The sequence below is a fragment of the Homo sapiens genome, chromosome 2 (assembly GCF_000001405.40).
Source record: "Homo sapiens chromosome 2, GRCh38.p14 Primary Assembly".
Lineage (NCBI taxonomy): Eukaryota > Metazoa > Chordata > Mammalia > Primates > Hominidae > Homo > Homo sapiens.
The window spans coordinates 214493817-214509197 of record NC_000002.12 but is presented as its reverse complement, the minus strand read 5'-3'; the positions used below and the strand labels follow the sequence as shown (position 1 = coordinate 214509197).

Genomic DNA, 15381 nt, shown 5'->3' with positions numbered 1-15381 from the left:
GAGCAGTTTATATGGGAGGTGATTTCTAGAAATGCCAGTGTGAAAGTGGGGAAGTGAGACTAGGAAGGGAAAGAGGCTCAAGCCTGTGTGCATCTGGAGCAGAATCCCACTGGGGAACTCTGGCAATTCAGTGAGAAATCTCCCCTCAGAGTGATTCCAGAGAGGGGTGAGCATTCTGTGGTCTGCTCTGCCCAGAAAATGAAAGAGAAAGACAAGGAAAGGCAAGGCAAGACAAGAAGGAGGAAGGGAGGGAAGAAAAGGAGGAGGGAGGGAGAAGGAAAGGAAAAAAAGAAAAACCATTGAGGAATCGAACTCTTTTAGGGAATGGGTCAGAACTTCCACAGTAAAACTCAGATTAAATTCTCCAGTAAATTTGCAAAACAAAAACAGAAACAAACCAAAAAAACACAAAATTGCCCCAAAATCTTCATTGAAAAAGAATAGGCTATTACATACAAACAAAAATCTAAAAACGTGAAGGAGCCCTTGGAATTTAAAATATGACTTTTACAAATCTATGGAAGTCTTAGAAGAAAAGTCAAGGATTCTTATGAAAAAAAGGAAAATATGGGGAAAAGGAAATTGGAAACTCTAGGATAGAACAAATTCACACTAGTTACACAGGAAGGAAAATGTAATCGTAGTTAACTACTTGGTTGTTAGTGAAAAATAAATTATCAATGTGTTTATAATTCCATCATTTAGAATCATCCTATGAGCAAAGCTTGATAGGAAACTGTAAATGTTATCAACCTTGACAATAAAAAGTAGAAATGGCAGTTTGGGAGTAGACAGGGAAAATGTGGGATGAAAAGGGGAGAGACAGTAGCATCTTCATCTTACCAAATGGCGAATCCAGAGAAAATTTCTGTAGTTTTAGAATAAGAAATAAAGCTAAGTATATCATTTAAAAGTGCACAGAAGAGCCGGGGGTGGTGGTGCACGCCTGTAATCCCATCACTTTGGGAGGCTGAGGCAGCGGATCACGAAGTCAGGAGATCAGACCATCCTGGCTAACACGGTAAAACCCCGTCTCTACTAAAAATATAAAAAATTAGCCGGGCACGGTGGTGGGCGCTTATAGTCCCAGCTACTTGGGAGGCTGAGGCAGGAGAATGGCGTGAACCCGGTAGGCGGAGCTTGCAGTGAGCCGAGATCACGCCACTGCACTCCAGCCTGGGCGACAGAGCGAGACTCTGTCTCAATAAATAAATAAATAAATATAAGTGCACAAAAGAAAGGATAACTTAAGCCCTTACATTAATGGGCTTTTTAAACAATGTGAATATAACATCTAATAAGATTTTGCTTGAATTTCATTAAAGAAAAATGTGGCAACTAGCTGCAAATTCCTTGAAACCCATTCCCCAGAAGAGAAGCAGGCTATGTGCCATCTAGCGGAAAACAGAGCCTGCTTGAGGCTCATGACTGTCTCCAAGGCTGTTCAATAGAAATACGGGTTGTCTGTCAAACTCACTAATATAGATGATGTTATAGTTTAAGAGCAAATGTTCTTGATAACATCACATGACTAATTAAGAGATAATAATTATTTTAGGGTGCCAGCATGGTACATTGGCACAAACTCTGGACTTTGGTCCAAGATTAGAAAACGGAGGTACAAAGTCAAAATCCTGGTTCCATCACTGACTTGCCAGGAGACCTTGGGGAATGCCATCAGTTTACCTCTGGCAACTTTCCCTGTAGCTCTAGTCAGGAGAGCGTTATTCCCGTTTACAAATCTGAGGGTCAAATATGGTAATATATGTGAAAATGATCATTATCCTTTATTTCTTTGATCATTCTATACATGCAATTACTTTGTCTAAGTCATTCATTAGAGGATTTCTGAATTGTTTAATAAAATATAAAGGACTTCAGATAAAGTTCAATTAGAAATTAAACTATCTGATTATGCTGGGTAGATAATATCATTTGTCTTCTTAAACTTATTAGAGATTCCCTTAACAATGTTAAAATAGCTGTGGTTTGAAAACTGAATCATTACTGTCTTTAGATACACATGTTAAATATTCTAAATATTTTCAGTTAGATTTAATTGTGGTAGAAGTCCACATATTTTAAAAATATTTTATAAAAATATGCTTATACTCTAGTATTTGTCACTTCAAAGAAACATGTTGACCTTTGTTTTATAAAATCAATTCTATATTTTGTAATAATTAAATAGCTCATTTTTTTCCATAGAACATTTTTTAAAAATTAGAAAATTTTCAGTAATTTTAGCCACCCAGACACAACCTCTGTTAATATTTTAATGTATTTGTACTCTTCTTTCTATATATTTAGACACAGACTTTTAAAAATTTGGATAATGTAATTTATATTCCATTGTTCACAAAACATTGTATCACAAGTCTTTATTTCATCAGCATATCTTTAGAAATATTTTTATTGGCTCCATAATTAACTAAATGAGTGATCAATACATATTTTAAACTTGACTCTTGGCATTTATGTTATTCTAACTCGATATTACGAATTTATTATAATATTTTCTATGATAAATAACCTATATAGAGCCTTCCCTTCATCTTTGAACATTTCTTTAGAAAGAAGTAATTATTGAGAAGTAAATTTATATAGAAGTAAAATTATTGAGTCAAAACATGTGATGATTTCTAAAGGTTTTGATACGTATAGCTAAATTGCTCTGCAGAAAGATACAATTTGTAGTCCCAACAGAAACCATAGTATCTTCAAACACTGGGAATTAAGATTTTAAGAAATTCTTAATAATGATATAGGAGTTAAGGGTATAGGAGAAATACAAATCTCAATTTGATTTGTATTTCTTCGAGCTATTTTATGTTTATTAGGCATTAGCATTGTTCATGTGTGATTGTTGCTGTCTCTCACCTTCATTGGTATTTTTGTATTATTTTATAGATCTATAAAAGCTTTTCAAATGCTACAGATATAAATCCTTCATCTATATACTTGTTTGATTTCTACTTTTTTGCCCAAATAAAAGTCAGTATATATCTTTAAAGTGGAAGGATGAAGCTTAAATATGTCGATAGGAAACAGCCTTTTGAAAGACTAAAGATAGAAACATGAGATAATATCTTTCAAATTCTTTATTAAACTGTCCTTCCTGAGACCTTGTTGTTGTTGATAGAATTAATCATACGTATAACATTTTCATACATATTATTAAGCAATAAAGCCAGATTACTGGGTATGAAAATAAGCGAATCATCTTCCCAGCACTCCCGGCTACCCCTTTGGCCCCTGTGCTCACCTTCCCCACCATTACTAAGAAATTTGGAGATTTAAAAAAGTCTCCAAAAACGATTGGACTAGTTTGGAGCTTGGATCATGTTAAACACTCTTACTAGAATATGGATCTATGGGAACATTTTTTATACCTTTATCTGTCCTTTTCTTCCCACCATTCTTATGTTTTGCTTTTTTTTCTTTTAATGATTGGGAATGATATTGAATTGAATACAGGGCCAGAACATCATCTACAATAAAGGATAATTTTATAAGACAGTTAAAATTTTCTTAGCCACATTTTCTGTGGTAACTCAATGCCAATGAATTTCTTAATTCATTAACAATGTAACAGAAGAAAAGACTTTGAAAACACTGTGCTTTGTGTAGATGTCTTTTAATTATGGCTAATTAAATACTGTGCAAGGACCTGATTATACCTTTGAGTATTTCTTAATCAGAAAAAAAAGGAAAAAAACAAGGCTTGGAGTTATGAACACATGGAACAAAAGCTGATTTCAGCAACTCTTGATTAAAAAAAACCCAAAACTGCAAAAAAGAGAACAAATTATAGAGTAGTACAGGGGAGTATTCTTTAAATCTTTGTGCTGATTCTCCATGGAGGTTTATGTACCACTGTTTGTTTTGGTTATTAGGTAGAATCTCAAGTAAACCCAAGTAGAAATCACACTGCTTCTAAAAATGAGGAGCAGAGCCAGTGGGTAAACAGTTTCAGGGCAAACTGATGCAATACTCCCTGAAGTTAGGAATGAATTTTTCCAGATGGCCACTGTGCATATGGCCGGGGCTACTTCAGTAGCCAAAATAGGAAACGAGAACACAGTTCTTTCCAATTAAATCAACACTGTCCTTGAGAAAAGAAATTTCAAAGAGCATGTCCGTGGGGATGGAGGTGGACAGGAAATAGCATTCCTGTCTATCAAGACATCTTCAATTGAACTAATTATGATATCTTTAAGTGTTCAGGCCAGTCAAATTTATTTTGGGATTTTAGGAGAGCAAGGCAATGAACTAAATGATGTGCTGGAAATTCACAGCTCAAAATTGGACTTGTCTGTCTATCCTCTTTCATCCTGGAACATTGGGTGAGTTACTTAATCTCTCTCTGATTGTTTCCTCCTGTGTAAAATGGGAATCACATCTCCAGGCTGCCCAACAGGCTTGTTGTGAAGATAAAATAATGAACGTTATGAAGTACTTTGCAATCATGAAGCACTGGATTATGCTTCCCAGGACTCGGAGAGAATAACCACTAATGCCAGTTCATGCTGCGGGCCACGTCATGGGCTTTCCTAGGGAAGACATTCCTATTTATACTGGGGTACGATTTTCAGCTTTGTTCAGACCCTGCCCCCTAACAAATCCTTTGGTGGTTATTCAGTTCATCTTAATTAAAGAATAATTTACTGGCCTGTGTGTAACCAGCTTCGCTGGAAGCTGATTTTTGCTGGGTAAATTTGCTGAACTTCTCAATAAATTTCAGCTCCCCAAAATGTCAGACACGTGCTGCAGAAAGAAACTACCATGCCCTCTATCACTAGTGAGCAATCAGATGCAGACTCTAAACACTTAGACATGGACAGCAGCCCATCCATGTTAGTCCTTTGATTCACCTTAATAAGTGCATGGGTAACAGGAAGCTACTTCCAACATCACTCATTCCAACCAAACTATCTCGCATTTTCTGTTTACCTTGTACATTCTGATTTCACCCTTCTCTTAGGGAAACGAAGCAGCTAAAGCTATTCAAAATGATCAGTAAAGAACCTTTCTATTTTCTTATTTTGAAATCTGCATTCTTTTGATTTTTGTTTAGTACTTTAGTCATCTACCCAACTGGTCGTATTTGTACACAGAACCAGTTACAATTTGTACAATGTACTGGACTCTCAGCTGTTTTCAAGACTAGCCTGATACATCTTGTTTTAGCCAGTGTCTAAATATAAGTGGTCTTCTTATAGTCAACAAATTGTGCTCCTTCCCTGCAGAATAATCTATCCACAGATGGAAGAATTTCAAGGGAATATCAGGTAGCTGCTGATTACAGAGCCAACAGTTTAATGGTAGCTGTATGATGTGGTGAGGATAAATCAATTAGGACAGAAAAGATATAACAAAAAGCAACATACTCATATCTTACTTGTCCCATCTCTCAACTTTGCCACATGGAAACAGAAACTTTTATCATTTCTGTTTTTTTTTTTTTCTCATTTCTGGTTTCACTTTTTTAGTTTTATTCTGATTGTGTACATAGTGGAATTACCTAAATTGCTCAGCAAAAATGCAGACTCCTGAGATTTATTCTAGCCCTACTCAACAATCACTGCTTTTGTAGCTGAGAGTTTGGATTACAAAAAAGTATCCCCGGAAATTTTAATGCTTTCTAAGTTTTGAGAACAATTAGCCTAATAAATTTTTGGCCACATTATGACTTTGATGAGCTCTAAGCTCTTTTCCCTTTGCCTCTCTCTTCCTCAATATAAAAATTAATTATATTTTACTATGGCCTTGGTATCAAGATGAATATATTAATATTACATATTAAAACATTTTCTTTAACCTAAGTTTACATTTTTTTTTCTGATTAAAATTAAGTATTTTCATGGGCCTCTGAAAGTATTTTGGGACTTAGGCACTTTGCTTCCTATCTCCTGAGTAAGTCAGCCCAGAATGAATCGAGGACTTGTTAACTTAGAAAACTGGTAATCTTAATATTTTGAAGATTTAGATGCTAAATGTTTTCTTTCCCTAACATATCATGAAGAGATCTAGGTCAAAACTCTTGCTGGAGTTCAGGGGATGCAGCTTTGCATGAAGATAATTTGCAGGTTCTTGGGTTTGGTGCTACGTGCCTAGATACGATGGTAGCCAGTTTTGAACTGCCTTCCCAATACTAGCAAAGGCAAAAATGGGGAAGATATTGGTTCTCAGCTTTGTTAAGCATTCCCGTCTTATTTAGGTGATATACACTAATAAATGCACACAACAACTACATACAAATAGAAGCTGATGAAATGTGACGTTATGGTAATACCAAGTATTAGGGCCTGGTGTTGCCCATCTGGGGAAGCTTTTTACTGGAAGCAGGAAAATGGAAGGGATGAGAAAGGGAAGAAGAAAAACACAATCTAGTTAAGGAATTTCATTATATGAAGCAGGAATGACTTTCACAAGAATTTCTAAGAATAAACAAGGAAAAATGACCTGGTGTTACACAAAATAGAGGGGAGACTGCAACTGATAGAAAAGCATAAAAACAACAATTTTACGTCATTATGAAAGAAGACTAGGTATCATTTCAGAGTGTTGAAAAGGCAACTAGCAGCAAACTGTGCTCAATAGTTATCACTTTTTTTTGTTTGTTTTTGACGTGGAGTCTCGCTCTGTTGCCCAGGCTGGAGTGCAGTGGCACGATCTCGGCTCACTGCAACCTCTGCCTCCTGGGTTCAAGTGATTCTCTTGCCTCAGCCTCCCAAGTAGCAGGGGCTACAGGTGTGTGCCACTATGCCCAGCTAATTTTTGTATTTTTAGTAGAGGGGGGGTTTCACCATATTGGCTAGGCTGGTCTTGAACTCCTGAACTCATGATCCGCCTGCCTCAGCCTCCCGAAGTGCTGGGATTACAGGCATGAGCCACCGTGCCCTGCCAATCGTTGTCATTTTCTATGCTTTATATTTACACTTTGCATGAACAAAACACCTTACATAATAATCACTGATATTTATTGAGAACATGCGAATATTTCAAGTTCAATGGTAATACTCATTGAAGCTGAGACTAGATAAGGAGGAAAAAATGAAAAATATTGAAGAAGGAAAAACAGCAGTGTTTAATTGTTTTGGTTATTGATCTGTGACAAACTACCTCCAAAACATGGTAATAGAAAACAATGACATTTATTTAATCATAATCATGCCATCTGGGATGACTTTGCTGGGGAGTTCCGCTCATCTTGCTGGTAGCCACTCAGGTGGCTGCAGTCAGCAGGTGAGTCGGTGGGGAGGTGGGCTTAGCTGCAACTCCCCACTTCTCTTTCTCTGTAATCTCAGGGCTGGTCCCTCTGTAAGTGACCTTTCCTCGTGGCCTGTACAGCAGGGTAGCTGGAGTCTTATATAGTGGCTCAAAGATCCCAAGAGAGCAATGGCAGCAGCAAGTAGCCTTTTTAAGGCCTAGGCCTAGGGATGGCACATTCTTTTTTTTTTTTTTTTTTTTTTTGAGACAGAGTCTTGCTCTGTCACCCAGGCTGGAGCGCAGAGGCATGATCTCAGCTCATGGCAACCTCCGCCTTCCAGGTTCAAGTGATTCTCCTGCCTCAGCCTCCCGAGTAGCTGGGATTACAGGCACCCACCACCATGCCCTGCTAATTTTTGTATTTTTATTAGAGATGGGGTTTCACCATGTTGGCCAGGCTGGTCTCGAGCTCCTGACCTCAGGCGATTCACCGCCTCGGACTCCCAAAATGCTGGGATTACAGGCATGAGCCACCACGTCTGGCCTATTCTTTTGGTTAAAGCAGATTTAAGGTGGGAGTGGGCAGGTACACGTAAGGGTATGGATTCGGGGAGGCATGATTCCCTGTGGCCACTAGTATCACAGACTCCACCAGAGCTGGAGAGAACACTTCCTTCCTATGGCTCAGGTTTCTTTCCAGGTGGTAGTGACAGTTAGTTCTACACTTCATCAGAGGGAAGGTGGAGTGGCTTTTCCGATGGTTAAATTTGTGAAAAATTACTGAATATGTTTGCCGCTTGGGAGTGTACTTGTTCTATAGAAAAAGTACAGCATCACCAGTAGGCCAGTCTGCATAATTTGGGGGTTTAGTATTGGCTTACTGGCTAATAAACCTGAAACCACACCCTCTAACTTGGTCTCTATAAGTAACTAAAATGATATTTTGCTTCTGTCTGCTACTGTGTTATTTTATTTCTCAATTCAAGGAAGAGAGATGCTGTTTATAGGCTTACTTAGAGAGTACAACCTGATGAGATTAGAAATTATGACAAATGTCTCATAGTTTCATCAAGAGTGAGTGATGAAAACACTGAGAAAGGTCTTATATAACCTAGAGAGGACAAATAATTAACAGAGCAATAGGCCTTTAAACTCATTGGTTAGAGAATGGAGGTTGGTCGTTTGTTTACACCTCTTAATAACTGAACCTGGGCCTAGTTGTCTACCTGATACTGATTCTCTCCTTCATTCTTACTAATAGAACTCTGATCTTGTTAAGGAAAGCAATGTATACAGGTAAAAATACATTTTCTAGCCTTTTTTGCAGATAAAGGGGCCATAAGGCCCAACTGACTAAGGGCAGGTAAGTACAAGTTGTTAGGTCAGACTTGTGGAAAGGTCTTCAGAAGCTGGCAGCAGGGATAGGGAGCTGGAAAACAGGCTCAGATGGGAAGGACTTACTTGCCTTTTGTCCTACCTGGAATACAGATGAAATGGTTAGAGTTGCAGTAGCCATATAGTGACTGTGAGGTAAACTTGAAGATGGAATCCATGCACAAAGAATGGCAATGCAAGAAAGTAGGATGCCAGAACGTTGATGATACCATAGAGCCCTTGTACCAGCCTCTGATATTTGCTCCCTGACTTTAATCTACATGAGGGAAAGAAAATATTTTATTGGCACTCCTATTTTTTAAAATGTTTCCATTACTAGCTGAATACCGTTTCTAACTCACGGTTTTATCAGAGCAGAAAAATAATAGTATGTAGTTTATGCTATTTCTAAGATAGATGATGCCGTTTAGGTGAAATATTTACCCAAAATTATGTGGCAGAGGTTTCTTATGTGTGTATATGTTAGAGATTTCTCATATAAGATGTATCTTTCCATCAGAGCATTAACACTTGCTCTTACCTTTGCCTGATGCAATTCTCTCATGAATATTCAAAAGTCACATACCCTTCCTTCGCTGGGGTTTCTACTCAAAGATCCACAGCTCAGAAAGGCCTTTCCCAACTATCCTATCTACCGTAATAGCCCCTATCATTGTCTATAAACTCACTCTCCCTACTTTTGACATTTTTTGTTTTATGATTGGCTTGTACGTTATTATCTCCTCAGTGCTCAGAAAAGTGTCTGACACTTTGTAGTGGCTCAATGAATATTTGTTAAATGACCAAATAAATAAAGGCAAAGCTAATGCACATTTGATTCTGAAATTTTTCTGAGTAAACTACCAATGAATCAATCAATGCATGAATAAAAAATGACAGCTCATTGCAAGTTGAGAACTTCAAATAGACTGTTAAACTTCTTTTTTTAAAATTTTTTAAATCATACTTTAAGTTCTAGGTACATATGCACAACGTGCAGGTTTGGTACATATGTATACATGTGCCTTGTTGGTGTGCTGCACCCATTAACTCATCATTTACATTAGGTATATCTCCTAATGCTATCCCTCCACCCCTCCCCCCACCCCACGACAGGCTCCAGTGTGTGATGTTCCCCTTCCTGTGTCAAACTTCTGAATAGTCCTATGCCTGTTAAAATAATATGTCTGTTTCAAGTGTTCAGTGTAACTGGTGGTATCTAAACTTGATGGCAGTTTTTCAAACTTTGCTGATTTCTTCCCTTCAATTTTATCTGAAAGAAACAGAGTGGTATGGCTGGGCGCAGTGGCTCATGCCTGTAATCCCAGCACTTTGGGAGGCTGAGGCAGGTGGATCACGAGGTCAGGAGTTTGAGACCAGCCTGGCCAAGATGGTGAAACACCCATCTCTACTAAAAATACAAAAATTAGCTGGGCATGGTGGCAGGCTCCTGTAATCCCAGCTACTCAGGAGGCTGAGGCAGGAGAATTGCTTGAACCTGGGAGGCAGAGGTTGCAGTGAGCTGAGATTGGGCCACTGCACTCTAGCCTGGGTGACAGCAAGACTCTGTCTCAAAAAAAAAAAAAAAAAAAAAAAAAAAAAGAATGGTACGATATAAGCCTCAGAAGGCATATGAAGGTATCCATAAATCCCCTCTATGTTGACTTGGTCATGCAGTCCCTAATTTTTCTTAGGCTGATATGCTCTATGTCTTCTTGATAATAAAATGAATAAGACAATGGTTTACAATGATGAAAAATATATCTGCCCGTGGGTTTTTTTGCACATATATACACAATCCAGTGGTAGATTTATATGTATATGTACACATATTAAAATACATGTATGTATAATATATATACACATATAAAAATATGTATATGTATAATATATACACATATAAAAATATGTATATGTATAATATATACACCCATATATAAAAATATGTATTATATATACATATAAATATACATATAGAGATATAACTTATTTTTCAATACTAGGAACATAGAACATATTAAAAGATTCACCCACTTTTTTATATATTATAGTATTCATATAGCATTTCAAAATCATAAACTTTTTCTGTATTTTAAGATAGCCAAGGAGAAATATTAAGAAAAAGAAATATTGAGGATTCAAGCATACCTAGAGACAAGGCTTCAGAGACCGTGACTTTTCTGCTTGAGTAGGAAGTTCTGGAAATGGGGGTCATTGAACAATAGGCCTCTGATACTCCACAGAGTGTTTTGAAACCACACACTTTATGTCTTTCCCCTCTGGATGGTGCATAGCGGCAGAGATGCCAAGGATCTATCAAAGAGTTTTTCTCTATGTCCATTGTGGAAAGTGGTGGTTAGGAAGCTGCTGCCCAGAACCTACATTTTCTAGCACTTCTGAAACATCTAAGTGGAGTCCCAAGTTAGTGCCATGCAAAGGTGGGTGGAGTGATAAATGGCCAGGCCCATAAACATCTCCTAGGTGCTTCTCTGCCATGTTTCCCACTGCAGACTGGTTGGATTTTCATGCCCTGGGTGACCCTGGGAAACATGTTGAAGCGGGTGGAGCCTCTGTTAGCTTCAGCCACATGTTCATTAGATTCATCATGTCAGTCACATGATGAGGAAAACATTTCTCCCCCAACTTCTATTTGGCCAAGCCACAGAGATTTGGGTTTTTATTCATTACAGCACCTAGCACAACTTTAAGTAATCCACATATACTACAGATTTAACAGAAGTTATGAACTTACTATCATTGTTGAAAGATGGCTGAGCAGAGAGCAGCGGTTCTCAAACTGCAGAATATTTGGGGAAGAAGTTTGTTATGAATATAAATCCCCAGGCCTCCCTCCCAGAGATTCTGATTCATCAGGTCTGGGATGGGGCCCAGAAACAGGCATTTTCGTCACCACTGCAGGTTTTTGGATGCACATTTAGAGAAACACTGATAAAGAGAGTGAATTTACGGAAATGGCAGCTGGAAATTTGGGGTTAGAAATGGACAGCAGATTATATCCTGAGCCAAAGTATGAGCTGGATGAATTAGAAGACAGTGAATAAATGGGAAAATCAACAAAGAAAAATTCCATACTGCAGCAATGAGTATAATACTTGTGTACCTATGAACCCACCATATATGAAGAAGGATCATGGCTCAAAGATGAGGTTGCGAAAATTGGGTGGAGTTAAGAAAACAGTTGAATTTAGAGAGGCAAGAGAGGATAGTTTGAATATAAACATTTACAAACAGAAAGCTTTTTTAAACTGGCATAACAAAATTGAAACAGACCACTTAAGGGAAGCTATAGTTTTGAAGCCAACACCACCATCTACACTCATTGACCTATCACAGAACAATATGTAGAAGGGTAAGAGCTTAAAATGAATGGTTTTTTTTCCTTTCCAATACACTATCAAATAAAAATGTTACATGCCTGAAGCCAAAGACTATTCTTGGATTGGATATTTTTCAATGCTCTAAATTTAGCCAGCTGAACTTCTGTAAGTACCAGCTTATTCAACCTTTTGAAATATAGGATTTGCTTTTTAATTGGAAATCTGCATCTCACCTTAACGATGGAACAGAACATCCTTTCTTTTCAAAGAAATATGGTGTTTTGATATTGTACACTTAACATAGTTAAACAAGATTGCAGCAAAGAGTGAAAGGACCAAAACATACAAATACACACATGCACATATGAAGGACCATGACAAATACACCTCCATTTCTGATTAATTAGAAGCCATAACATGAATACTCTTAGGTGTTATCACCACCAAGTTTTTATTGAGAACCAAGCGTCTGGTGAGAATAGAATCTGAAAGAAGTGCATTTTTAGAATAAATCATTGGTAAGATTATAACTTTTTGTTTAAATTAAAGCAACATTTAATTATTGAAGTTTTAATTGTCAACAACAATTTTAAGCAATAGTACAATCACGTAAGATTTCCCTTCAATCTGTGCTTCCTTTGGGAAAATCAGATGCTTTAGTTAAGAATGTCTTTGCTCTGTACTGTTCAAATAAAACCCCAATGTGGATGAAGCAGACTGTTGAACGTATTCTTAGGAATAGCAAATTAATTAGGAGGTCTATCAATGTTCTGAAAGCTGGTGCCCTTGTAGATTGACAGATCTGGAGACCTAAGTATAACAGATAGTTGAAAAATAACAGACTGCAGCACACAGATGTCAAGGTCCAGAAGAGGATGCCTATTATTGTGAGTTTAAAACCAAGTCATGGAGAGGAAGATGTTTCATATGCTTGCAGCCATTCTATTGCATCTTTCTTTTCAAATATACTCATGTGCCACATAAAGTTTCAGTCACTGATGAGTTACTTATATGAGAGTTGTCCCATAAGATTGTAATACCTTATTTTGATTGTACTTTATCTATGATTAGATACAAAAATGCTCACTATTGTGTTACAGTTGCCTACAGTATTCACTATAGTATTATACTATACAGGTTTGTAGCATAGGATCAATAGGTTACATACAGGCCTGTTATTCCTAGGCTACAGTATATAAATATACCCTATAGCGTAAGTGTGTAGTAAGCTATGCCATCTAGGTTTGTGTAAGCAGAATCCATGATGTTCACACAGCGATGAAATAGTCTAAGGACACATTTCTTAGAATGTATCCTTGATGTTAAGCAACACATGACTGTATGTAGGATATTCAGCTCAAAAAAATCTGAACTGACTTGTTGGCTTTTTTGAAATATTATTTCCTATAATTTACATGTTTTGAAGCTGGTTGTGAGGATTTCAGAAAGAGGTTATGCTTCCTTTTAAGCATATATCCTTATGTGTAAAATAATACAGCTTGAGAGTGAAAGTTTTAGTGCCTTGGATTTCTTTAGAAAAAATGGTGTTTTCAAGGTAAGCAAATACTTTTACAGAGATAATTTATTTGATAGAACAGCTCTGTTTGGTAGATGGTGGGAATATTTTGGTAGAAATATACTGGTTCTCATTTACAGATGAGGAACCTGAAGCAGGAATAGACTAAGGGATCTGCTGAAAGATGTCACTGCCAAACTAGTGGGGCAGTGAAGTTCTCTGCCAGTGGTTCCTAAGTGGTAGTCCATCAACTGGGCAAAACTGATGTTTGAAAGACCCCTGGATTTATTATCTTGGCAAGTAACAGAAAATCGAAATCATTGAAGTTAAGAAGTGTTTGCTGAGAATCTGTCATTTCAGATGAAACAAAGATGAGACAGCATAATCCCTGACACCAACAAGGTTGCAGTCCTCTAAGAAACCTCTGAGCAGGCCCTCAGAGTCACAACTGGCTCAGCAACAAAAAATGGTAGATGATAAACAAAAAGGCAGTAACGAAGGATCAGCAAAGGATGGGGAGTAGGGATTTTCTTAGCAGCCTTCATAATTTAATTTCCACAGCTCTCAGTGACTTTACAGTGGGAGGAGAGAGTATTAGCAGAATGTTTTCCAATCTTGAGAAGTTTAAAGTCAAATCAATATAAAAAAAGCAAGAACAATAAAAACCGTTGAACCAATCATTAACATGAAAGTATGACATAGTTGTTTATGAAAATTTTTAATAAACCAGACACTTCGAAAGCACAACTAAAGACTATGCTGTATTAGAAGGCAGTTCAGGAACAATCAAAGTAATGCAAAGACCTTAGAAATCTAAGAGTTGGCCTGGATGGAAACTTTATTTCATGGGCAAATGAGAACAGCAGTATATTTGTCACTTTTCCAGAAAGTTTTCTACCATAAGTGAAGTGTGCCCTTGAAAGGAAAAAACAAGAAGAAAACACCCAAGACACCAAATTAGAAACTTAAAAAAAAAAAAGTACCTAGTGCTATAAAAAAAACACAGTTGTGTAACATTTCAAGGATGAATTTTAAGTACATTCAAGTCTTGAGGTAGGCAACACCTGCTTAATTCTGATAAACTTTAATTTCTGATTTGCCTTTAAGAACGTCTGGGAAAACAGGATAAATAAAGATGATCTGAAGAGACTTTGAGACTCAAAGATGAGCTGAGAGATTTTCCTTCAAAATGGAGGACACTGTCACAAACATGAGAGGTTAAAGAAGGCTGACTTGGAAGAGGAAAAAGGCCCAAGTCATTCCTGACTCTCATCTGGGAAACTCTTCAGAGACATGCAGAGGGTAGGGTCTCCTTGTTTACTTTGCTGCTAAAATGTTTCTGGCAGAGTGGCTGGCGAACAGATCTGTCTTAGGTAATTCTAATAGTCTTGTACTCATTCTGCATGGCAAAGTAGTTTTCCTTGCTAAAAACATTCCAAATCGGAATAATTGAGAAGGACTCATGTCTATGAGAGTAAATTATAATATTTTATTATGCCTAGGACTGGATAAATAATTAAAGGCATTGTAGCAAGAAAGAAAACCTTAGATAAGCAATTTACAGTGTTTCCTGTTTATGTGGGAATAAAGTTATGCTGAATAAGACTACTGTAGTAGATGAGGATACAGTGGATGAATTTAACATAAAATACTGTAATTGTAGCAAAATGGAGTGGATGTCTCCAGTGATTTCCTTTTGAACTTTAGAAAATTAGGAATAGTATTACAGAATTTTGCTGCAAATTAGTTTGTTAGCTTATTAGGAGCTGGTGTACTACACTGATTCATTGTGGAGAAATAATGGAAGAAATAGATGACAGTTGGTGAATAAGGTCAGATATAACCTCATCCCAGAAACATCTGCAGGTAGGGTCTTAGATAGACTTCACTTGCTTGCTTCTTTATCTGTTTTCTGCACAGCATCTCCTTTGTCAATAACCT

At 37.2% G+C, this 15381-nt stretch overlaps 1 protein-coding gene across 3 annotated transcripts in view; it reads right to left on the bottom strand.

The window, feature by feature from the left end:
• Positions 1 to 15381, bottom strand: part of VWC2L (von Willebrand factor C domain containing 2 like) — a 167923-nt gene that overhangs the window by 69779 nt on the left and 82763 nt on the right. The window lies entirely within an intron of this gene.